The following is a 26,580-nucleotide window of genomic DNA, read 5'->3' on the forward strand; positions in this document are numbered from 1 at the left end:
ACCTTTGCTCAAAGAAGAGAATGAGAAAATAACACATTTGTGTGTGCTCTTTTCCTGACCTATGACTTGTATAGATGTTAGCACAGTGGCTTTGGTTTTAAGGTAAACATTCTTTCAGCATTTCTCATCCTTCTCCCATTTTCCTGCATTTCTCATCCTTCTCCCACCTTCTTGGTATTTTAATCATTTATGTATTGTGAACATTTTAGATAAGATGTAAAAGTCTTATATAGTGCCCCTCAGTTAAATTTGCTTAGTTTCAGAGCTGTGGGATTCAATAAAATGAGACAGGAATTATGGGTAACCTCATAAAGGAGTATGAAGGCATTGTTATCGTTGCTACCTTTTTGAAGGAAATATGCCCTCACTCTGACTTGGAAATTAATAGTCTTTCATATAATAATTTGATAAATTTAGTAAAATTCATTTTTGGACCTGCATCTAGATTTGCTTCTGCCACAACTAATGTGAAATATAAAATAAATACTTACTATATTTTAGCTAACATACTTTTTCATTATTTTTATTCCTAAGAATGGTAAATACTAAGAATTATCTAAATTGCTGTGCTGAATCATATAAATGTATCCCAAGAAAATATTTCAAAAAAAGAAAACATGCACAAAGATAGTCATTATAAAGGATAACAAAGTCAGCAGAAAAAAAAAAGATTGTCATTATAGTATTTTCAGGACTAAAACAATTAGACATGAATCAAATGATAAAAAGTTTCAAAAAGTAAATACATAAATCATGATATTTCAGCAACAGGAATTATTGAAGTACCATGAGAAATAAATTTTTAAAATGCAACAATATGGAAATATTGAGATGTAAAATTAGGGAAAAATACAAGGAGAATAAAAATTGTGCCTTCACTCTGATATAAATATGTAAAATATGTTAGTTTATAGACAAAAGACTGTAAGAGGATGTTCAAAAATGAAGCCAGATGTTGCATTATAGTGTTGGTATTAAGGATGAGTTATTTTTCCTTTAAATTCTCTTCTGCTGTTATATGATATTTATAAAATTTTAAAAGTGCAGAAAACAAAAAAAATTCTGCCATGAAAAACTCTAATTATATTGAAAATACCATCCTACAGGGAAGAAAGTGCAAGATTACTTTTAAGTTAGCTCTAATAAATACAGTGAATGATTTGCAATGAACTGCCACATATTTTAAAGTCTAGTTTATATTATACGGAACAATGCAGAGAATCTCCTCTCTGTCCTTCTTAAACAGAAAGGAAAAGTGCTGTTATAAATCTTACACCCTTAAAGAAGCATGGCATCACTATGAAGATAAGCTTCACCTAATGTCCAGTACAGTGCTGGACCCAGGTGGGTACTTACCAAACACTGTGGAAAGTCTGAAGGGATGCTGGTGAGTGCCTCCCAGAGGTGGTATTTTCTTTTCCATTGCCCCATTTTGTTCCTCTATAATATTATTTTGCTTTTTTAATTTTTTTAAGACACGAGATCTTGGTCTGTCACCCAGGCTGGTGTGAAGTGGCATGATCACAGGTCACTGCAGCCTCAAACTCTTGGGTTCAAGGAATTCTCCCACCTCAGACTCCTGAGTAGCTGAAACTAGAGTCATGCACCACAACGCCCAACTAATTTTTTAATATTTAGTAGAGACAAGGTCTCACTCTGTTGTCCAGGCTGATCTCAAATTTCTGGGCTCAAGTGATCATCCCATCTGGGCCACCCAAAGCACTGGGATTACAGGCATGAGCCACCTGCCTGGCTAAGTTCTTGTTTCAATAACTGCCTCCTTTCTCCTCCTGCAGCTTTTAAATTGTAGATAAATATTTTCAGGTGCTAACCTAGAGTCTTACTCTTCCATGTTCATATGGGGTATCTGCATGCTGGGGGAAGGAAGAGGTTGAGGAGGGAATTGGCCTTTTGCTGGGGGTTTAGTGCACTGGAAGGCATTTTTAGAACATCTGGAGATTTGCTTCCTTTTGTCAGAATCCCAAAGACTAGACAGATATTTGAACCACACCGTAGATAACTGTTTTGATTTTTTCTTTTTCTCTTTTTTTCAGAGACATCATAGGTCCTATTCTGGGGCCCCAGTGAATTGTTCCATAGACTTTAAGAAATTCTTGGGCTGTTGGATGGGAAGGCAAAACCATGTAACTGGATGGAGTGATTCTTAACTTATTTCTTTTCACTCTACAGTTAAGCTAAAATTAGAAACTCTGAAAAGCTGGCTGCTTTTAAAAGGAGATAATGGACACAACCTTTGAGAAGGGCTGGTGATGGAAGGGGAAGGGAGGAGGCGGTCATTTTCCCATACATCAATAAACCATAGACATGCTTGGTTCATTCCACCACTAGGTTATTGCTGCTGGGAAGCAAATATTATCCTGTCTCTTGTTTATGGAGTAGGTTTTTTTTTCAAATTAATTAAAGGGTTTATCATCTCACTAAACACACAGATGTCTTAATAAAATGTAGAGCTATGTTTAGTATCATGGCATCTGTTTCCTAGATGTCATGTGGAGTGCTCTTGGAATATAAAAATATGGTCCCTGCCCCAAGGAGTTTGTATATGCTTTTTGGTGCACATACACAAACATAAGAAAATGGGCAAGTCAAATTATAGATGAGGATGATAGTGATTTTTTTTCACATTTCATGAGATTATTGAATATAATTTCATAAAAATGAGAATACCCTTTCAGATAAAAGTGTGCAAAATATTTTATTTATGAATGTAAATTTTTCCATCCAAAGCCACTGATCAATTAGTTAAGTAAAATAGAAAGCGGAAGAAATTTTTGTTCTGAATGATATTAAAATTTTTCTCAGTTTTTGTCTTGGCTCTCTTAAAAGTAAAGATTATAATCAGATAGTCAAGATGGTATTAATGTGTTTGTTTCTAAAAATGCTTTGCAGGCAGTTATCTTTGAAGAGGATGATTAATAGTGGTAGAGATAACATTAAAGAAAAACTGGTTCTATGGATTGTACAGATGGTCTTCAAGGGGTGGCCGTCCTGACCACAGGAACTCTGGCTGCTATTTTAATTAAACTTGAGGGCAGAAGAAAAGAAACTGTTTTTTGTTTTTTTTTTCTAAGTAAGTAAGTATTGAGGTTACACAATGTGTTTAACCTCGGGGTTTGTCAACAATTGTAGAAAAACTGAACAGTTTACAAGAACAAGCCAGTTTGCAGTTTTTCAGTTCAGTAACCAAATGACTTTCCTATTGTAAGTGAAAGTGGGAAACAGCTTTTCTTAGCAAATGTAGACTTTGTTCTTAGAGGAGTTAGTTATTGTCTTCAAACAATTGGTATTGTAAAATGTGACTTAGGAACAGAAAAGAAGTGTGTAATCTTATGGTAATTTTATTGTGATGTGTTACATTGTTTTAAAATGTTATTTTATTTCCTTAAACTTATTTGTTTTTCTTTTTTTAAATTATAAAAGTAGTACTTGCTGGTTGAAAATATTAGATGATTTTCAATTCCGGCATCATAATTTCTGTTGGGAAAGAAGAACTAAATAATACAGAAGTATGTGAAACAAAAAGGAGTTTCTCTCTTCATTCCCTGATCCACCCAGTGGTCATGCTTGTGATCAATTTGATATGTCACTATATAGAACATTTTATTCTAAGTAGAGGCAAACATACTGACATAGAAAATCATCATATATAACATGCACAAGTGTTCATCCCAGCCCTGTCCTATTTAAGTGCTTTTATACACTTTAGCCACTTCAATTTTACTCACTCTGTTACCCATGCTAGAGTGCAGTGGAGCGATCCTAGCTCTATATAACATTGAACTGCTGGGCACAAGTGATCCTCCCACCTTAGCTTTCCAAGCAGCTAAGGCCACAGGCTTGTGCCACTACACCTGGCTGATTTTTAACTATTTTGTAGAGATGGGGTATTATTATGTTGTCCGGGCTTGTCTTGCACTCCTGGCCTGAGCCACCGAGCCCAACTTTATAAATATTTTTAATGTGAAAAGTGTAACTTTACTGGAAATATATCTCTTAATAAGATAAATGAGACCATCTTTTCAAAAAATTATTTCATGTGTCTGGGGTGAAAATTATTATTACTAAAATGAAATAAGCATTAATATCAATAGTATTTCTCTTTTTCTTTTTCATAAATGTACATGCTGAAAATAATGCTCACATAAATAAATGGGTGGTAATGGAAGTCTGTTTTATAGTCATGCCTCTCCAATCTTTGAACTCCTAAGTTATATGCCAAAAAACATCATCAGTGCTTTGTCACCAAAAGCCATTTTATTAATCTGTTGATGGAAGACTTAAGTAGGCTTACCTTTAAATTCATTAAATCTGAGAAATTGGAAACAACCTGACTTGTAGGAGGATTTATTTACCAGCATTGGAGTCTTTTACTTTCTCAATTTGGGGCAAGGGATCAAAGGATCATTCTCTGTATCAGTTACTTTTTCACATAGCAGAATCATGTAAAACTTAGAAAGGTTCAGAATATTGGTAATTTCAGTACACTTTTGCTCATGTAATTTTTTTTAAGGAAAGCTTTTATCTGAAGTTTATGGGTATTCAATCCTTGGAGTTGTAGTTTTAATTCATTCAATTCAATTCATGGGAAATGTTATTTACATATAATCTAATTGGAGAACTCAGCCCTCAATGTCAGACAAACTCTGATTTCATTTCTTAGTTCAAGTGAACATGTTAATATGTACTGCAATGATCTTCATTTCATTTCTGAAATTTTGAATTGAGATAGAAGAGGCACAAGGCTTGGTGATGTGACACTCTGCTGCTGTCAAGGTGTCTTCCAACTCATTCCCATTTGTCCTCCTGGGACTATCCCTCAGGATGGATGCATGCATTCTCAATAGCAGGGATAAAGAGGCAAGATTATTTAATGAAAACTGTTAGCTCTACCACTGCCTCACTCTATAACCTGTCTGCACTCTGAGCGTGTGTATGATGCAGGGAAAACCAAAGCACCTTTATATGCTTATGGTGCCTTGGATGGAAGAAACTTATTACATCCCTTTGTTTGGTGCCCCAGAGGATTCTACTTCCTGAGATTATGCCCCTTAGCAAGATTCTGGTTGGATGAGAGACTTGGCTTTATTTTTTAAGGGATGAGAAGGACACCAGTTTAGGGTGGATAAGAAAGGAGCAGGAGTAGCCAGCAGTGCCACAGACATCTCAGACTTATCAGACTTGGGAAAGTTGAAAACCTACCGGAATTTCATTCACTTAAAACTCTCCACGCCCATGTTTCTCTTGAAAAATCTTTATGTATACTTCTATCTCTATTTGCATAACACCATTTTAGACCATTTACATGGAAGTGTTTGTTGGCTACTATGAGAAAAATGCCAGTGATGAGCATTTACAAATTTTACTGAATTTGGACTTTTAGGTTCTCTACATATAATTACATTCAAATGAAGTTGTAGGGATATAGATTGGTCTATATAAATCTTCAGAGAAAGGAGAGGATGCAGAATGATGGATATTGATGATGAAGTAAGATAGGAACATATAGACTGTGTTGTTTTGAGTTGCCGAGATTCCTTAAATTTTACTTAGTTTTGTGTTTTAGAGCAGAAGATGTATTCATTTCAATTTCTCTTAACATCTATTGCAGTTCTTTTGTGAATTATGATTGGAACAGATTGCAAAATCTCCCAGTGTATCAGTTTTCCTAAAATAAATCATTAAAAGCAGTTCATTATCTATAAATCTTTCCTGGGTTAAAATAAAAATCTGCTTTCTAGGTCAATCTTCATTAAGCTATTAATATCCTTTTCATATTATAAGCCTTTTAATTTCTTTTATTAGCAACTGAAAGTAGCTGAAATATGAATGTCATTGTTTTGAATATTAATTGATGTTTGAATTATTTTTAGTAATTATGCTCCGACGTCAGTGAACTTCATTCCAGCCCACCCAGGGACAAGGAACTTCTCCAATATATTTATATTTACTGAACTGTATTTATATTTGTATATTTGTATTTTACTTCTTGTGATAGATGTTCCTAGTTTCTATGATTTTTATTGCAGTAAAATTCAAGAATTGTCACAAGGGTGATTCATTAGTGGTACATTAGAAAAGCCTGATTTTTGTTTTGCTTTATTTTCAAGCAAATCAAAACTTCTTCAGCATAAATACATGAGAACTCAATTTCCTAAGTCTAGAACAGCATTTGAATTTTTAGCTCATCATAGTAATTGTTCAATTTTTTCCAGAATTACTATCTAACCATTTTGTATGCATTTTATTCTAAATACAATTGACATCAAGAAAATACGGTGGGTGAAAAGAGCCCTGGAGTAAGATTCTGACAGGAGACTTCCTCTTTCTGCTCTGTGACCTTTTTCAAGTAAACATGTCTCTGAGTCACTTTGTTACCATTTATAAAATGAAATGGTTTAGTCATAGTGATTCTTCTTAATTGTTACTGAGATTTATAATTTTAAAAGCAATATAAAATTAGAGAAAACACAAGCCACGTAGGCATACAAAACGCAAAAGATGAAACATCTCTACAACTTCAGACCTTGGCCAAAAGCATTGTTCACTGCTGATGGCTGAATGATATACCCTTGCATGAGTATGCCATTATTTATTTGCCTCTCGAAGGACATTTAGAGCACTTTGAAGTTCCAGTTGCACTCCACATGCAGAGACTCCCAAAGAACATTCTACTACATATTTTAGAATTTACATGTGAAAATGCAGAATCAAAGTATGTGAACATTTAAATTTTCACCTTCGTTACCATGAAAGCTATATCAAAAGTTGACATTGTAGATTTTTTTTTTCTTTGCAAATCTGTATGAAGGAAAACAAAGTTTCTTCCTTCCTGAGTTCTCTTCCTCCACTCCTGTCTTTGTGAATGGCCACTTCATTCAAGCCTCTTCAGGTACCTTTGAGATTGCACACCATGTTTCCTTCTGAGTCTTCACAACTCTATTGTCTCAAAGCTTGATGGTGACAAAAAGTGTGTTCACTAATTCATCCAAGAATTTTGGGGGCCTGGTGTTACCCTGAAGGCTAAAGTGGTAAACAAGAGCATTATGTTTCATAGTTGCTTTTGTGAAGCTTAAGGTCTAGTGGATCAAGAAAAAAATGTCCATTAGATAATGGCAGGAATGCCTGTGCTTTTCCAAAATGCGAAGGGTGAATACAGAAGGACATGATTCAGTCTGATGGTGGCTGGCAGTGACCAGGGTCTTCAGGGAAAAGCTCACTGGGAAGTGATCTTAGCTCCAAAGGTGAGTAAGAACTAATTATCCAAAGTAATGGGGGTAGGAAGTGGGCTGGGAGGAAGAGCTTTGAAATCAGAGACATACAAAGGCCCTGCAGCAGGAGGTAGCAGAGCAAGTTAGAGTTGTTGAAGTTATAAGGCCCAGTGGCTGAGCCCAGAACACAAGGTGAAGTTTGGTCAAAGGTAAAGCCAGAACAGGGGTCAGAATAAAGCTTGCTCTGTTGTGCATTTTTTGTTACATCTGAAATGCAATAAGAAGCCAATGAAGAATTTAAGCAAGGTGGAAATAAGGGAAATGGTGGTGGTGGTGGTGGTGTGTGTGTGTGTGTCTTCATAAGAGTAACATGATTAAGTTTGCATTATCACAAATTGTCATGAAATATAAAAAGAATGCTTAGAATTTAAAAATTAGATCTTGCTTATCTTGTATGACTTGTAAGCAGATTGTAAGCATGTAAGCAGATTGTTCATGATTCTTTTGGAGGAAGTTCTCCCCAGTAATGCGGTTACTTTCCAGCATTTAGCAAGGAAATACAAATAACGTCATTTTCCGACAGGGCAGAGAGTCCTAGTCTAATTTAGTGTCACAACTAGCAGTTCTGTTATACTTTAATCCTTAAATATTAGACCAAAGCAGGGACAATAGAAAATGTGTTTACAAACCCTCCTGATTAAGGTGACTAAAAAGCAAAAGCGAAACAAAGGAGGTTGAGGTAAAGAGCAGTCTTACACGTAAGCTTCCAGCTTTGGGACTGATTTACAAACCACAACTGAAATGGGTATTATATATATGCTGATGAAAGTAGCTATGTAACATAGTTTGGATCTGTGTCGCTGCACAAATCTCCTGTTGAACTGTAATCCCCAGTATTGGAGGTGGGGCCTGGTGGAAGGTGATGGGATCATGGAAGCGGATTTCTCATGAATGGTTTAGCGCCATCCTCTTAGTGCTGTCCTCACGACAGTGATTGACTTCTCAGGAGATCTGCCTATTTAAAAGTGTGGCGCCTGGCTCTTTCTCTTTTGCTCCTGCTCCCACCATGCGAGACCCCTCCTCCCCCTTTGCCTTCTGCCATGATTGTAACCTTCCTGAGGCCTCCTCAGAAGCAGACATCTGTGTTATGCTTTCTGTACCGGCTGCAGAGCCAATTAAACATTTTCTTTATAAATTACCCTGTCTCAGGTATTTCTTCATAGCAATGCAAGAACAGCCCAATACCCTGTGTCTTCATTCATTAAAAGGCTACTGAACTATGCCTACTACTGCATTTTGCAGACTTGCTTTTCCTCCATTTAGAACTAATGTCTTTTATTTCAAGACCTAATGTCACCTCATTCTTTTTTCATGTGATAATATCCTCTGATGTGGCCTGCGAGTTGCCCATAAGGAATCGTGGAGTTTGGGATGATAGTTTTGGGGGTGTGTGCTATTTTGCCTTCTTTTTTCACTCTCAAATATAAAAAGGATCTAAGTGCTACTCCTGAAGTTATTTGCGGGGACTGTTTGCACTTTCTTGCTTGAGGTGTGGCTGTGGAGGGCAAGACAGACAAAAGTCCAAACTAAATGGAAAATGGTGCAGTTATTGCTGAAATAGGTTTCCCACCATCTAATTCCTTTGTGTGCTACTGGCTGAAAAAGTCCTTTTCCTTCTCAGCTCCACAGCTACTTTTTCAGGACAGAGTCTGATTTACATAGACAGGCTGAATGCAGAAGCTGTGTGTTTACCATGTGAATTTGAGGCCACTGAGAAGATTATTTTGTTGTTCTGATCTCTTGACCTTCTGAAAGCTCCCATCAGACCTTTCTCCTCCCACCTTCCACCACACTATAAATAAAAGCCAACCCATAAGCACCCACTCAGATGTATCTGCTTCTTAAATTTCGGAATCGATTTGTTAATCTCAAAAGGCCGTAAAAACCTGAAAACTTAAGTAGCTAACAGAGAAAAAAAAAAGTTCAAACAGATTCTTGGAAGGCTTTGAAGCTAGGATGCTTGGGGAGCATCTTTGTAGTCTGTTGAGGGATTAGAGACGGCAACATCATGTCGCCTCGCAAGCCAGAGGACAGCTTTGAATTGCAGCCAATCAGAAGCCATAGTATGTTTTTGGAAGGTGGTGGGGGCCAGTTTTTTCCCTTCAAATAGCTGACATTTCGCAGCCCCCGTCCCTCTTGGAGCACGACAGCCAGAGAGTATGCAATTTGTTTGGAATTCTCTCACAACAGTCCTAGTTTGAGGCTAAGGCTAGGTTGTGAACATTTAGAGTTTTTGTACGTCTTGACAAATTTGTGTTCATCAGGTGCTCCGTGACCATCAGTATTGTTTTGGTTATACAGACCAAGTGTTCTGGGCTCAGATCCAAAACTTGCACAAGTAAATCAGCCTCAGAAGGCAGCCTTAGAGATCTTTGAAAAGTGCTGAAGTAGGGCTAAATATTAGACAATCTGCCATAATTTAAGTTTTATATGTATGTATATATATTTATATATATATTTAATTCACAGCAGGGAGCAGTACACACATCGTAAGAGAGAAATCTACTTTATGCAGAGTTAATTGGATGATACCCTAATTTGATGATACCCACATCATTCAGTAATTCAGTTTTGCGCTTTCTTTCTTTTTATGCTTTTCATTTAAAAAGCCTATTTATATGATGTTGAGGAGTTTGTTAAAATTAGCTGATATTTTAGGATCCTTTTGACATTTTATATGATTATAGGACATGGGGACATGAGTTCAGAAAAATTGGAAGGCTCTCACAGTTGAAGAACTGCCATATTTGGGAGTCCTTGGCAAAGTTTTATGTAAACTGTATGTTTTTTACTTAGGGAGTCTTTATAATTGAAAGCACCCATCATACTTTGTGCATGGACTTCTATTCACAGAATGAATTTAGCAAAGCTATTGGGCAATATAAAATTTTAGGATAGGGAAAACATAGCTCAAATGCTATGGTCATTGTGGATCTCAGACTGAGTACAAGGCTGCAATATTCACTCCTGAAGCTAGAAACAAACCTCAATCTGAAACCATGCTGGAATTCTGTAATTCTCTTCCACAAAGCTAAAGTAGAATGTGTTGTGTTCTGTTTTGGTCTCCACAGTTTAAAGAGGACTTCTAAAACAGAGGCAGAGTTCAGAGATGAATTTGAGTTTAAAAATACGATTCTAAGTAAAGATAGAAAGTGGGTATGGTTGAGTAGAAATAGAAACCTGATCGTGACTCATGGTGTCCACTCAACCAAAGGTAGTTTCCTGGGAAGTAGAAGATCCTTCCCCTCAAAAAGGTCAGAGAAAAGGCCCCACAAATCCTCATATTTAAAGATATCTTATAAGAGTACACAAAAATGATATAGCATAAGAGGGAGAAATTCAGAGTATTTCTCTTGCTATAGATGAACATAAAAATATTTGACATCTGCGGTGCCTATATAGAAACTCAAGTACATGGAGCTCTAAGTCTATTCATTATAGAGCATTCAGAACCCTGGGCAAACCAAAACCAAAATAGTGGTGTCAACCCACTTCTTTGACATGCCACAACTAGTGGCAGATACCTCCTATTCTCCCCCTTACCAGGGACATTCTCCCAAATGTGTCCTCTTGTGCGTGGCTCACCACTGAGGTGCTTTGTCACTCACCTTCTCTATATGATTTCAGTCTGACTGTGAGTGGGTACTGTGATGAAGCCTTTGTCCACCTCTCCTAAACCTTGTTTTAAACCCACTTTACTGAAGGTGACATTTCCCCAGTTATTCCTTATTCACATCTCCTTTGTAAAAGCATCTGAAACCTTCACGCAGAAGCCAAAGTGTGTTACAGTTCTGAGTAAAGACCCCATTAAATATGAAGATTCTAGGGCTAGTGGATCTCTAACCCTAGGTGATCTCTGCAATAAGTGCAGTGAAACCATGGGGTCAGAGCCTCAGGAAATGGTAGAGTTGAAGGCCAAGATCTGCTGATTGATAACTTCACAGAGAAGAAAACTCAAGAAGAAACCAAGGGACTGAATGAAGAAGAAAGAAAAGAGATGAGATGGAGTACCCCATCTCTCCCTGAGGATGGAAGGAGGGAGGACAGAGGAAGAGCAGCACAGAGGCTTCCAGGTGGAGAGAAAGGTGTAGCTGTTCAATAATCTGATGAAAGTGATAGGAAGGAATTTGTGAGACTGTGATATCAATGACCTTGGACTTCTTACCAAAGTATGAAATGCAGTGTGATTTTTCCAGTAGGATGATGCATAGAGCTGAAGATCTTGAGGAAAGTTGTAAAGGAATGGTGCTATGGTTTCAGTATGTCCTCCAAAGTTTATGTGCATTGGAAATTTAATTCCCAGTGCAACAATGGCTTTTCAGAGGTGATTAGGTCATGCATGCTCTGCCCTTATGAATGAATCAATGTCATTATTGCAGGAGTGGGATAGTTATTGCGGAAGTGGGTTCCTGATTAAAAGGATGAGTCTGGCTCCTTTACTCTCTTGTTCTTGCTCCCAGTTTCACTCTTTTGCCCTTCCACCTTCCATCATGGGATAATGCATCAAGCAGCCCCTTGCCAGATGCAGGCACTTGATCTTGGACTTCCCAGCCTCCAGAACTATAAGAAACAAAACTCTGTTTATTATAAATTACCTAGTCTGTGGTATTTTATTATAGCAACCACAACATGGACTAAGACAGGTGGGCTAACTATTGAACTGAATTTTTGGTTCACATTTATTCATTCATCTATGCAATAATATTCATGCTCTTCATTATATATCCATTATATGTGTTAGGGGCATGTGCAGTGAACAAGGCAAATGTGTTCCCTGTTTTCATTGGTGGGGAATGCTCTTGCAAGTATGGTTTCTAAAAGGGCAGTGTTTTATCCCCTGGGAGAGTGTTAGAGATGGGAGTATCTAAAGGCGCTTTGGCTCTTCCCTGCATAATACATATGCTCAGAGTTCAGATAGGTCATAGAGTGAGGCAGTGGTAGAGCTAACAGTTTTCATATAACAAACTTGCCTCTTTTTCCCCAACTAGTAAGAAGCATTAGTACACAGAAAAGCGTTGATTCTGGAGCCAGACTGCCTAGTTCAAATTTCAGCTTCCACCGCTTACCAGCTCTGTGGCTTCGGGCCAGTGATTTAATTCCTCAGTTACCTCTAATGTACACTGGGAGTAATAATAATACCTACTTCACAGAGCTATTTTGAAGATTAAATAAGTTAGTGTTTATAAAATGTCTTGGCACATAGTAAGCACTCTATAGCTATTGACAAATAAAAATAGGCCCTTAGACAAAATCTAGTATGTAAAAGGCAACAGAGAGCATGAATTAGTCGGTCTCAAGGAAGGGGCAATGCTACTCCCTAGAAAATATTTCAGAATTTTGTGGGCATTTTGGTTGTTCCATGGATTGGGGAATATGGTGGGAAAGGGCCAGCACATTCCTGCACAAGTTTCAAATATTCTAGCAGATATTTATGCAGATGCAAAAAAGGCATTTTAAAATGATCTGAACTACATATAATTCCACCTTATATGTAGGTGTGTCAGTGTTTTATTGAGCTGTGAATTAGAAGTTTCAGAGTTTTATTCTACACTGGATTTCCAGGACTGTGACTGCCTTCTAAATTGAGGGATGATTTCCTTTGTTTTGTTAAGAACATTACCAAGAGTTACTCACTATTTCAGAATGTCACTGATACACCAATCCTAGCATTTGAATCCCAATGTAATGCACCTCCATCAATGTGTGACACTCATTGTGGTTCTCCTTATTTGTACAAGCATCTCAAGACTTCACTGTGTTTTCTAGTGAAGCTGTAACCAATCACTAATATATTGAGATGCATATGCTGTTAGAATAACTTGCTTTCCTTTTACATCTTCATATTTAAATGAGAGTATTATATTGTCTTTTAAGAAATCGTATCAGTGGCTAGACAGATTGCATGATGAATACATTTTATTTTCTTATACGTATTTGTTAGTGGCAATGTTGGGACTGCTGTGGGTGAGAACTTCTGCTACAAGCAAAGGCCCTGGGGCAGGTTTCAGTTAGAGTTATAGAGCCTGGATAGTTGTTAGAAGGTGGGATGCTCTCTATAAGGGAACTACTGCTCTCCATAAGGAAAGCATTTGTTAAATGGGCAGGAACTGTAACATGAGCGATTTAGCATTGTCTTAGCTTGCCAAGCTCTAGTTTGTTGATGTAAGATACTGACAGTTCTCTTTAAATCTTTGTAAACAAGGTAGAAGCTCATGTCTTTCTGATAGAGAGTAGTCACTACACCTAAACCAACAGCTCGGATTTATGTCCAAATCTATTTACATACTCACACAATTCTAGAGTTAAGTTCGCTTGCTCACACAAATGTGTTATTTGACCCATTTCTCCCACAAATAAAAGTTACATTATTAGAGGGATACATAAGAATTTGAATTGTTATATGTTAAAAACTTATTTCTTCACATTGATGCATTTGATATATTATTATTTATAAGTAGTACATGTGGCCCATTTAAACAACGTGAGGGTTTCATAAGTGATTTTTTCTTTGGGTTGCAAACTATTGACAGGTGGGGAGTCAAATTTGAATATCTTTGTGCTCTTGTTAACTAAAACAATGCCTGGCATACAATAAGAATGCAATACATCTTTGATAAATGAATGAGCCCTTATTTGTGGGGTGGTGGATTTGGGAATGTAAATGGAGTTAAAGTTATACATTCTAGATTCTACTTCCTGATCTGTCACTTAACTGAGTTTTGAAGTTTGAGAAATGACTTAAAATCTTGGTATCATCATCCAAAAACTGCGATTGGTATCACATGCCCAGGTTATGTATAACATTTTTAAGATCAAAAGAGAGAAGACAGATAAAAACATTTGAAATCCACAAAGTGCTAATCAAATACAGGTGTACTAAATTCCACAAAAACAACAGAATCAGATTAGGGCTTATTCAGAGAGAAATGATGCATTCACTAGGGGTTTAGTTGGTTGAATAGTGTTCCCTGCAAATTCACATCCACCCAGAACCTCAGAATGTTACCTTATTTAGAAATATATTTTTTGAAGATAAAATTAGTTAAGATGAGGTTATATTGGATCAGAGTGGACCCAAAATCCTATGTGGCATCCTGATAAGAAGAGGAGATGATACATGGGGAGTCACAGAGAAGAAGGCCATATAATGGCGGAGGCCGAGATTGGGGTGATACAGCTGCAAGCCAGGGAATGCCAAGGACTGCCAGGAGCCACAGAAGCTAGGAAGAGGCAAGGAAGGATTCTTCGCTGGAGCCTAGAGAAGGAACATGGCCCTGCTGACAACTTGAGCTTGGACTTCCAGCTTCCAGAACTGTGAGAGAATAAATGTCTGTTGTTCAAAGTCACCCAGTTTGTGACAGTTTGTTATGGGGGCCCTAGGAAACTAATACAAGTGTTCATTATTTTTTCCTCTTCTGAAGAAAGGGACAGGATCAGAGGTGAAATAATGCTTCTGGAAATTTGCCTCGTGTCCTGGCATCAGTACAATTGGCCAGACCTTTATGGAAATAGAAGCAGTTAGCCTAAGGTTTAAAAGTACTGGCTTTGGGACACAGATGAGATTATGGTTTCATCACTGGCAACACTCTGGGAAGTTGGAAATCTTCCACTTCCCACCTGTAAACTCCAAGTGATGATAGCCATATCCAGTCCATTAGTTGACTTGAAGGTTAAATGAAATATTATATGCAGCTTGAATATATGCATACATATATCTTCTCAATGTTAATGATTATTACTATAGACTAGATAACTTGAGGCAACCATAGTTCAATTTCAGATAGCTCTAGTTTATAAGACTGTGAGCCAAGAACTTAAAAAAAGAAAGGTGACGGTTTTCATTTTGATTCAGGACTCGATCACCTCTTTGTCAGAGCATCTGAATTAGCCTTTGTCATCATGATGATGATAACCAAAACTGGTCAATTAACTTCACTTGGCTGATTTGCATTCTAATTGCAATTTTTTTTATATATCTTTTAAGTAACTGCAACTTTTGGGCACTGTTTAATAAAACCAAGAAATTGAAAGTGAGGAGCTTGAAAAAGTCCTTGAACCTTACAATTTCTTTACAGATTCTATATGTTTCACAATAAAGGCAAGGTTTTAAATCTCAGTTATCATGAGAAGGCTCCAGGCTGGCTCTTTGCCAGTGTGTTTAATTGAGAGATGAACACGTCAGATTCATCTCTCACACACTATCACTATCACTGTCCTCTCTGAGCTCAGGCTGGGCTCTTCTGTCCCCCATCAATAAATAATTCTTCCTTAGGTTTAAAATCTCAAATAGCAACCTAAGTGCATTAACAAAATATGTATTATATAAGAAACATTCAGAGAAGAGAAGTTCAAGGTCAAAGCTAAAATTTACACAGAGTTTCAATATTTAAATGGGTCTGAAAACTCCATATTCCATAGCCCTGTACATTTACCTATACTCCTCAAACATCTCTTTGCATAATTACTTATGCTGAATTGAAGCAAAAACATCAAAATGTCTGGAAATTTAGGTTTCACTTTCCATTATTTTTCCAAGAACTTTTAGTAAATGTTTTCAAAACAGCTTTAATACTATATCTCATCATATAGAAATCATGCAATCATAGAGGCTCATTTACATGCTTCTTGGTTCCATAGTGGTTGTATGCTAATTACACCTACATACTTTCTGAACCTGACAAGACAGTGTTTATAATTTGGCTTCAAATGCTAATATATATTTTAAAGAAATTCAGATGGAAAATCATCTTTAAAAACACCTTATTCACATATTTACCACGATCAGTGCTTGTTATTAATTTCTGAAGTTCTGAGTTTCACTTCTCTTCAGCCTAGCTTCCTTTAGCATTTGCCATTGTACAGATCTGCTGGAGAAAAGTTCTCTTTATTTTATTCTGTTTAAAAATGTCTCTACTTTTCCTTCATTTCTAAATGATATTGTTTTCTAGATATAGAATTCTGGGGTAACGTAGTTGTTTCAATACGTTTATGATATTTGTCAACTTATTGTGCCTGTTGTTATTAATCACTCAAATTCATAGTTCATGTCTAAGTAATATTTTGTATTACTCTAGTGGCTTTCAAAATTTTCTCTTTACTTTTGGTTTTCAGCACTTATACTATGATGAATCTAAACATGAATTTCTTTGTATTTATTCTACTTGGTTTTTGCTGAGTTTCTTCAGTCTGTAAATTCATGTCTTTCACCAAATTTGGCAAAATTTTGTTCATTTCTTCAAATATCTTGTCCCACTCTCTGTCTTCTCTTCTTTTGGGACTCCAATTACATGCCGTTAGACTTTTTTATGTTGCCCTATTTTACATTATTTTTAATAATTTTGTTCAATATTTGTCTTCAATATTGTAATCAGATGCAAATAAACTGGCTTTCTCAACCTTAATTACATCAGCCTTCTCTGTGAAATAAATTCAATCCTTTATTACACAGTTTTTTTTTACAACAGCTATTCAACAAATGTGTATGTCATCCTTTCTGTAAATGTGTCATGGTAATAGTATTTGATTAGCTAAATTATCATTTCACTCATGAGTGATTACCTATGTCCATAGGTCTACTGCCTGTCCTAAATTGAACAGTTTTGTCCACTTAAAACAAGCAAACTTCCACTGATAGGTAAATGTTCCAACTTTACTGTAGCTTGCAGCAGTGCCTCTGTTAAGTGGAATTCTATTTCTGCCACAGCATCAATAAGCTTTCCTGTGTATGTCCCATATAAGGACCTGGTTGCATTTCTATTATGGAAGCCATAGTTGCCCTGCTAAGGAGTCTTGCCCTTTCAGGGAATTTGTGCTTCAGATAAACTGCCAAAACCCAGGCCTTCTTTGAACATTTATATTGTCTCACAGCTCTATTTAGAACAGTCTGTAAGATCACTCTGTCCTGAGTAAGACTTGAAGACTCATTTTTACCATCACATTGGATAATACCCTGCAAGCCAGCCCTTTGGAGGAATCAAAATTGAACAATCAAGCCTGAGGACTTGATAGAGTCTCAACTTTGACTTTTTAGTTTTTTTTCTCTCTCTCAATCTTTTTCTTTCTTAGAAAATAGAAAAATGACTGCTTACTACTGATTGTAATGTGTCTCAACTTTTGAAATTCAGCCTTAAACTTGTTTTACTGTGCACATTTGCTTTTGTTGAATTAAGTCCAGGTCTCTTCATTTCCCAGGGCAAAAAATCTTGGTTAAATTCCATGGGAAAGGATTGTGTTTTGGGTATGTAAACATCTATCCAAATACTTGTAGAATTCAAAAAGAGCATACATTCTTAAGAGTGACTCAGTTCAAACACATGCGTGCAGATTAAACGTCTTCTTTAAGGAAGCATATAGTTAATAGTTTTAAAAATGAATTTCCCCAACCTGATTCAAAGAACTCTCATTCTTCCAGAATAAAATATATCTTAACTTCAAGTGGGATAATTGGCCTCACCCCTACAGTGCTTGCTTGGCGTCTAGCAATTATGCACTAGAAAGCACAAAAGGGATAGAATTAATAGGTAAATTTTAGTGAGATTTGGCATGTGTGAGGTTAAGGGAATTTTTCAAAGTTGCTTATAAAGTTGCATACAGTTTCAAATTGTTTTCATTTTGAGTTATTTTGGTTAAAAACAGAAACCACATTTTAAACAAGCAGTCTGCTTAATGTAAAATAAACATGTAACTTAATTTGCACATTTGTTGGGTGCTTGTTTTGGAAATCATTGTGGTAAAATGGAAATAATCACAGAGGCTTCTGAGCCAGGTAGATGTGGATTTGAGTCCTGGCTTACTAATTCTGTGGCATCGGGTAAGTTTCTGAGCTCTTCTTAGCCACCATTTCTTTTTCTATAAATTAAAAATGATCGTATCTATCTTTAAGGGTGGATTAGAGGGTTAACAGTTCAGCACCCACAGGGTTTTTAATAAGTACTTTGAATTTTGAGAATAGACAAGACCTAAACATTAAAGTATTTTGCTTTTGACTAATAACGTCTAGATTATTAGTCTAATAACTTCAGGCTGTTCATAGTGATCTTGCTGGGTTGAGGCAATTGAGACTACATTTTGAAATCTTTTGTTTTGTGAAGTATACACCACACATAAAATGCATAAACCATAAATGTTAATGAATTTAATAGTAATAGACACCTATGTAATCATCACGCAGCATATCAGCTTTAAAAAAAATTTTTAAAGAACTTTTTGATGGTATTATAGCAAAGATACAGAAAAGTGAACAAATCATAAAGTTTATAATTCAAAATAATTTTCACAAACTGAACAACCTCATAACCATTGCCTGATCAAGAAATAAGACATTTCTGGCACCATCCCCCCGCCCACCACGCCACCCCTAGAATCTCCGTGTGTTCTTTCTATTCACTATCCATCCTCACCAAGGTAGAATATTCTGACTTCCTCTCATTAGATGAGTTTCGTCTGGTTTTGAACTTCATATACACGGAATCACAGTGTGTACTCATTTATATCATGGCTTCTTCAGCTCATTATGCTTGTGGTATTCATTTTTTAACCACTCATTATGGAAAATTTCAAATGTACACAAAATATGAGAAAGTATAGTGAACCCTAATGTGTCCATCACTTCTTTAAAACCATCCTTAACTCATAAATACTTTGATCTAAACACCGTCTTAATTCTCTGCTGTCCCCAAGGCAATGGATTATTTTCCCCAAACATCCTATCATTTCATCCATGAATATTTTAGTAAGTATCTCAGCAAGAAAAGGATTCTTTTTGTCACATCTACGAACTTAACAGTAATTACATGTTTTCAATATCCTATCTTGGATCAGCATTTCTCCATTGTGTCATAAGGGTTTTTTTGTTTTGTTTTGTTTCTTCTGTTTTGTTTTTTTCTGCAGTTGGATTTTTTACAATAGGGTCTGAATGAAGTGTGAAGATACCTTATTTTAAATGCCTAATTGTAAATTGGGGGAGAGTCCCATTTATATAAACTGAGTCTTTGAGTTCTTTATGGCTCATGTGAAGAAACAAACATCTTGCATATTTTCCAATTAAATATGTTGAGGCTTATAGTATTTTAGAATATTAGAATTCGAGATAATCTTATAGTTTCTTGATATCTTGTGTCTTGGCATACTTGGAATCCCCTCTGTGTTTTGAAAGTGAACTTTTAGCTTCACCGACTTTTTCACCTTTGGTATTATAGAGTCTACTTTCTGCTATTTTTGCTCTCTTGATTTACCTGCCAAGTGGCAGGCACAATGGGCAATTTTAGCTCAGCTCATCTGAAGAAATTCATCACTGAGACCTACAAAAATTCCTTGAAAGGAACAGAGAAAGCCAAGGTTGTTCTCACTTTCAGTTCTCACTTTTGCCAGTTGGATGGGACAGTGACTTTAAGGATATAACAATACAGCTGACACGATTAGGTGTTTGTTTAAATGATTTTTCATTTCAAGTTTATCTTTGTTTAAGCTGACCACAGCAAATATTTGATGTTACCAGTTAAATATCTTGCAGTCTTTTCACGTTTAAAACTTTTTCAGCCTTAAGTTTCTGCCTTCTTATTTGTAACCTGTACAAGGGTTTTCCTCTCTGTCTCTTCCATCACGGGATGGTGTCTAGGCACATGGTAAGGGCCATCTTGTTCTTGCAGTTGTCACTGGTTGGTTGAGGGCTCTTATATTGTTTAATGTCAAGCCAGGTCTTCTGTGGTTATTGAAAATTAAGTGTCTTTTGCAGGTCATTCTCACACCCCTGTTGATGATCTTCACTGTTGCTTCGAGCCATAAGCTTACCTTTCACTGTGAACTCTGGCCCCAACCCCAGACCTACTTCTGTCCACTAATCCTACAGCTTCCCTTGGTACTTGTGCACTCCCTGCTGCTTTCTCTCCACTAGCTGTAGTGTGTTGGACCCTGTGAGGTCACCTTTGCCTGGTCACCTCCCTCACGTTTGCCATTTGACTGTGCCCAGGTCATACTGAGCACACTGCCAGGAGGAAGGTTGAGCTTGGAGGACATGAATGAGGAGAAGCTGGGGGCCTATAGCAATGATTTTAGAATCATTGATTCAAAGTTGGATGCTTTCCTCATATCTTCTGCATTTCCCTGAAGAAGTTTCCAGGACCTCTCTATCTCCTTTATATTATAACCTCCTACTTCCTTCTCCATGGCTTGTTTCAGTCTTCCAGAATTGACGCAATGACTTCCTTTAAATTAACAGGTAATGTGAAATAGTCTAGTTGCCAAATTAAAGAGAAATGAAAAGGAGCAAGTAAAACTAATTTTTTTTTTTTTTTGAGACGAAATCTCACTCTGTCTCCCTGGCTGGAGTGCAGTGGCGCAATCTCGGCTCACTGCAACCTCCACCCTCTGAGTTCCAGTGATTCTCCTGCATCAGCCTCCCGAGTAGCTGAGATTACAGGCACCTGCCACTGCGTCTGGCTAATTTTTTGTATTTTTAGTAGAGACAGAGGTTCACCATCTTGGCCAGGCTGGTCTTGAACTCCTGACCTCATGATCCACCCTCCTTGGCCTCCCAAAGTGCTGGGATTACAGGCATGAGCCACCGCGCCCGGCCAAGTAAAACCAATTTTTAAAATATTTTTATTTAGCCTAAAACATCTGAAATGTTATCATTTCAACATGTAATCAATATAAAAATTTATTGAGATATTTTACATTCTCCTTGTCTTCTTTTTTTGGGAAGGAATGGGTACAGAGTCTGGATCCCAGAGTGTGTATTTTTCCCTCACAATACACCTTAGTTTGGACCAGCCACATTGCAGGACTAGAGGCTACCATATTGGACAGAATGAGTCTAGGTCATGAATGAGGAAGCTTCTAGATAATTTTAAGAGAAAAGCAAAAACAATAAATAAACTCTTAGGATGGTGCGGCTTTGCCTGTCTACATTAGCATTTCATTAACTCCAGGTGCTTGTTTCCCACTGCCACTTGGTATGTAAAATTTGTCTTCCACTCAACCAGGCAGATTTTTGATCACAGAAATTAAGCCTCTGGTTTCCTCTCAATCCACCCAAACACATAGCATACTGCTGACCTCACAGCAGGTACTCCAGCCAACCAATCCCTGAATTAAAAACTGATTACAGGCAGCTGCTCGATGCCTTGCCACTTCCCCTCTCAGTGAGTCCATTTTATTTGTCTGACAGCAAAGCTCCAATTCTGTCTTCACCCCTACCAACCCACACTTTTACAAATTGCTTTTTAGCTTAATGTTGAAACAGCCACGCTTTAAAAATATCATTTCATTATGTACAGGTTGGCAATCAAGAAAGAAAAATTCCCATAGGACTCAAATGAAACAAATCTAAAAATTTAGGACTGAAGCTCGGGAATGGTCAATCTGATTTTAATGCTCTCAAGAGTCCACATAAAATATATGGGCTTAGCAAACTTTCTGGGAAAACCCACTCAAAGAGATGACTTATTGATGCATGGATGAAGCAAGAGTGACTCCCAGATTTTATCCAAAAATATATCTAATGATATATGAAAATGATCATTCTAGTTAAATATATTCTAATGATTTGAACATATCTAAATAAGTTGGTTCTATCCCTCATAAAATCTAATGACAAACTTCGGAGACTTAAAAAGTGTGAAAAATAAAAGTCGAATTCTGGAGGGTAAGGCAGGAGAATTGCTTGAACCTGGGTGGGGGAGGTTGTAGTGAGCTGAGATTGTGCCATTGCACTCCAGCCCTGGCGACAGAAGTGAGACTCTGTCTCAAAATAAATAAATAAATAAGATAAGATAAAATAAAATAATAAAATAAAGATGAATAACAATCGGCCCATACAATTTTTACCCCAGCAAGAGGATGTTTGGTTAAATGGCCAGCACTGATTATTCATACAAGTACCCACCTCCCCACTATCTCATACACCCACTCAGTCACCAACCTTTATAGAGCACATCTTTTTAATTCCCCTCAAAGCTGCACTTTCCTCTCTGTTCCTTGCCATCCACCTATCCTTCTGGATTGCTGGAATGGCCTCCTGACAAGTCTCCTTGCCTTCTCTGTGCATCCCCACCCCCGCATTTGTCCTCCAGGTCAGTGTTTCAAACTCTGGTTTCTGTTTTGTTTCGTTTCTGAGACTGGGTCCTTCACCCAGGCTGGAGTGCAGTGGCATGATCATGATCACAGCTCACTGCAGCCTTGACCTCCCTGGCTTAAGTGATTCTCTCACCTCAGCCTCCCACAGAATACTGGAATTACAGATGTGCACCACCACGCCCCACTAATTTTTTTTTGTATTTATTTATTTATCTATTTGTAGAGACAAGGTTCATGTTGCTCAGGCTGAACTCTCCACTTGTTTTTCAGTTTTTAATTTTTTAATTGGCATATAATAATTGTACATATTTATGAGGTACATAGTGAGTTTTGATACATGTCTAGTGATCAAATCAGGGTAATTAGCATATCTATCACCTCAGAAGCTCACAATTTGTTTTGTTGGGAACATTCAAAATCCTGTCTTATATATATTTGAAAATATATACAATTTTTGACTGCAGTCATCCTACATTGCTGTCGAACACTAGAACTCATTCCTTTCATCTAGCTGTAATTTTGTGTCCTTTAACAAATCCCCCCATGCACCCTCCCCGCTACTCTTCTCACCCTCTAGTAGCCACTGTTCTATTCTACTTCTAAGAGATCAATGTTTGTAGCTTCCGTATGTGAATGAGCACAAGCAGTATTTATCTTTCTATTCCTGGAGAAGAGCAGGCTTTTTCCTGAATACATTGCTGTCCAATATTACTATAAAACATAATACACATGAATTATTAGAACAATTAAATGAGAAAAACCCAGGCATGCAAAATATTAAAAAATATTTAAAACATTATTTTAAAAATTTAAATAATTATTAATTTAAATAGACTAAAATTGCTCTCTCAACTTGCTCTGTAAGTTCCCATATTTACTCTCAGTTTCTGTACTTATCTTCCTGTGAGATTTTAAAACAGCTTGGTTCATAATTCAGGTAGCACTGATATAGATCCACAGTCCAATACTATAGCCAGTACTCACATGCAGATGTTTAAAGTTAAATTTCAATTAGTTTAACTTAAATTCATTAAAAATTCAATTCCTCCATTGCATTAGCCACATTTCAGGTATTCAGTAGCCATGTATGGCTAGTGATAACTATATTGGACATCACAGATATGGAACATTTCCATCATCGCAGAAAGTTTTATTGAACAGTACTGCTGTAGACCCTTGCTACTTACAGAGTGGTCCATGAGCCAGCAGTTCTTACTTCACATGAGAGCTTGCTAGAAATGAAGAATCTGAGCTGGGTGCAGTGGTTCATACCTGTAATCCCAGTACTTTGGGAGGCCAAGGCGGGGGTGGGTCGCTTGAGCCCAGGAGTTTGAGACCAGCCTGGGCAACATGGTGAGAGCCCATCTCATAAAATAAAATAAAATAAAATAAAATAAAAATAAAATAAAAAAAATAATTTAGCCAGATATGGGGACACACACTTGTAGTCCCAGCTACCTGGGAGGCTGAGGTGGGAGTATCACTTGAGCCCAGGAATTCAAGCCTGCAGTGAGCCATGATCACATCACCACACTTCAGCCTCGGCAACAGAGTTGCGACTTGGCAGCAAAAAAAAAAAAAAAAAAAAAAAAAAAAGAAATCTGAAAAACAGAAAACAAAGTAGGCCTAAACCTCTTGAAACAGAATGTGCAATTCAATAAGTTTCTTAGGTGACTCCTATGTACTTTAAAAGTAGAAGCCCTACTCTGGGATGTTTCTAGGACAATCTAAAGTCCAAATCTGATCAGACTATCCTACTAATCCTTTTAAATTGATACATAATATGTGTACATATTTGGGATACATGTGGTTATGGGATACACCTGATCTTTTGGTACATGCTTAGAATGTGTAATAATCAAATCAGGGTATTTAGGATAGCCATAACCTTCAACATTTATCATTTTTTGTGTGTGTGTTGGAAACATTTCAAATCTCTCCTAGCTATTTTGAAATAAACAATATATACAATGTATCATTGTTAGGTATAGTCATCCTACTGTGCTGTCCAACATTAGAATTTATTCCTTTTATCTAACTGTATATTTGTACCCACCACTAATCTTTCCATAGCTTGCAAGACCAGCTCTATCTAAAGTGGTAGGTATTAGCCACATGTGTTTATTTCAATTTCAGCTAATTAAACTTAATTTACATTAAGTTTAATGTCAATTAAACTTAAAGTTTAAAAATCATTTAAAGTTCAAAAATTATTTTCCCAGCCCGCCAGTCACATTTCAAGTACTCATTTGTCGCATGTGGCTGGTAGCTACTGAGTTGGACAGTGTAGATACAGAACATTTTCTTAACTGCAAGAAGTTTGATTGCACATTGCTGATTTAGACTCTAGTTTAACATCCAGAGATCTCATCATCTAGCAGAACTACCCCCTGCCTACCTCTCAAGCCCCCAAACCATGGTGCACCAGGTTGGCCCTTGTCTCTAACACAATGAGTTACGTAATTTAGTTCCTATGCACCATCACCCTCATTGTTCCTTTACCTTGACCACTATTTTTCCATTCCCTTCTTTCCATTCACCTCTCCATAATCTTCAACTAATCTCTGTGTCAAAATTTACCTCATGGTCAGCTGCTCCAGAAAGCTTTTCTAGAAACCATCCCATGCTGCAACCCTGCCACAATTTAGATTGTCCCCTTTCATTTCTTAGGTAGAAGCCTATGTATGCATGTATCACATGCTTTTGCTGTTGATTTATTCTCTCCATTTAGATCAGCATTTCTCAGCCTCAGCACTATTGACATTTGGGGCCAGATAAGATAACTCTTTCTTGGGAAAGTAGACAGCTGTCTTGTGAGCTGTAAAATGTTTAGTCTCATTCCTAACCTCTACTCACTGGATGTCAGTAACCTCCCCAGTTGTGACCATCAGAAATATATCTGCACATTGTCAAATGTTCCCTGGGGAGCAAAATCACCAATGCATAAGAACCACTACCTTAGACCTATCTGTTTTCTAAGGAGAGCCTCTTGAGGTCTGTGAGACACTTCAAACCACAGCATGGTACATAGGTCCTGCACACAATTGGCACTATGTTGGTATACATGCTGAATGAATGATTGATTAGGAAATCTGTTGTCAGCAGGTGTTTCTTCTTTCCTTGCATCCTTTGTTTCTTCTTTCTTTTATTCTGCTTCTTTGCACGCATTCCCAAGTCTAAGCAACACATTCCCAAGTCTAATTCTATTTCATGAGTGAACCCATTGACCAAACAGGAGAGCCCTGTGCAGGGCAGTCATTGATCATAGGTGTCTCCCGTGGCCAGTTGGTTTGGTTGGCTGATCCACAGTAGAGGGATAGACAAAATTATCAACCTCTTAAAATGAAGACTGGGACTGGGAATGAATCAGATGTAACAGCCTCCCTGTGATGCTCAGTTTTATTAGCTATTTTATATATACTGTATATATGTATGTAAAATAGCTCTATCTTATGTAACTATTTTATATAGCTTTTAGCTATGGGTCAGAGTCGCCAATCTATCATCTTTTCAGCCAGCTGTCAACACATGGTTTCAGAATTTGGAAGAAACCTAAAAGATTATGCATTCCAGCAGGGCTTGGTGGTGTGCGTCTGTAGTCCCTGCTATTCAGGAGGCCAGGGTAGGAAAATTGCTTGAGCCCAGGAGTTCAAGGCTGTAGTGCACCATCATGGTGCCCGTGAAAAGCTACAGCACTCCAGCCTGTCCAACATAGCAAGAGCGCATCTCTTTAAAAAAGAGAGAGAGAGAGAGAGAGAGAGAAAAGATCATGCTTTCAGATTCCTCATTTTTTTCTACATCTGGACACTTTCCTTAGGTCCTACTCCAGCCATCATTAGCATCTTAAGATAAAGATAGAATTTTGAAGTTCCATCATTTATAACCAATCAAATGCAAAATTATAAGACAGTGATATTCTTGATTTGAAAGCTGTAAACTCTGATGTCTGCTGCTCTGCTCTTCACTAGTAAGTTCCCTGGCACTAGAGCAATGTTATAGGATGGTGACCTAGTTTAGCTCTACCGTATTTCTCGAGCCAAGTAGAGAAGAACTGGAAGTTCTCTGCCATCCAGGCCTGCAACAGCTTTGGAGTCTCTCATTTGCTTTGCTCTTCTTCTATCTGGAATCCTTTCAGAAGCCTGATCCCCCACTTCGTGCATTCTGAAAGTCTGGGCCTTATAGTATTTGTGCTTCTTGCTGGGCACCATTTCTGCCC

General features: G+C 37.3%; 1 protein-coding gene across 2 annotated transcripts in view, besides 1 other annotated feature; it reads left to right on the plus strand.

Annotated features, from left to right (window-relative positions):
* Positions 1-26,580, plus strand: part of PLCB1 (phospholipase C beta 1) — a 752,635-nt gene that overhangs the window by 73,859 nt on the left and 652,196 nt on the right. The gene's annotated exons all lie outside the window — the stretch shown is intronic.
* Positions 7,866-7,915: an enhancer, noted in NCBI's record as "active region_17536". NCBI's record gives its function as "activates an Ori minimal core promoter by ATAC-STARR-seq in GM12878 lymphoblastoid cells {active_cell/tissue: GM12878}" and the evidence as "EXISTENCE:reporter gene assay evidence [ECO:0000049][PMID:35858748]".

Source organism: Homo sapiens, chromosome 20 (assembly GCF_000001405.40).
Source record: "Homo sapiens chromosome 20, GRCh38.p14 Primary Assembly".
In the NCBI taxonomy this organism is placed as follows: Eukaryota; Metazoa; Chordata; class Mammalia; order Primates; family Hominidae; genus Homo; species Homo sapiens.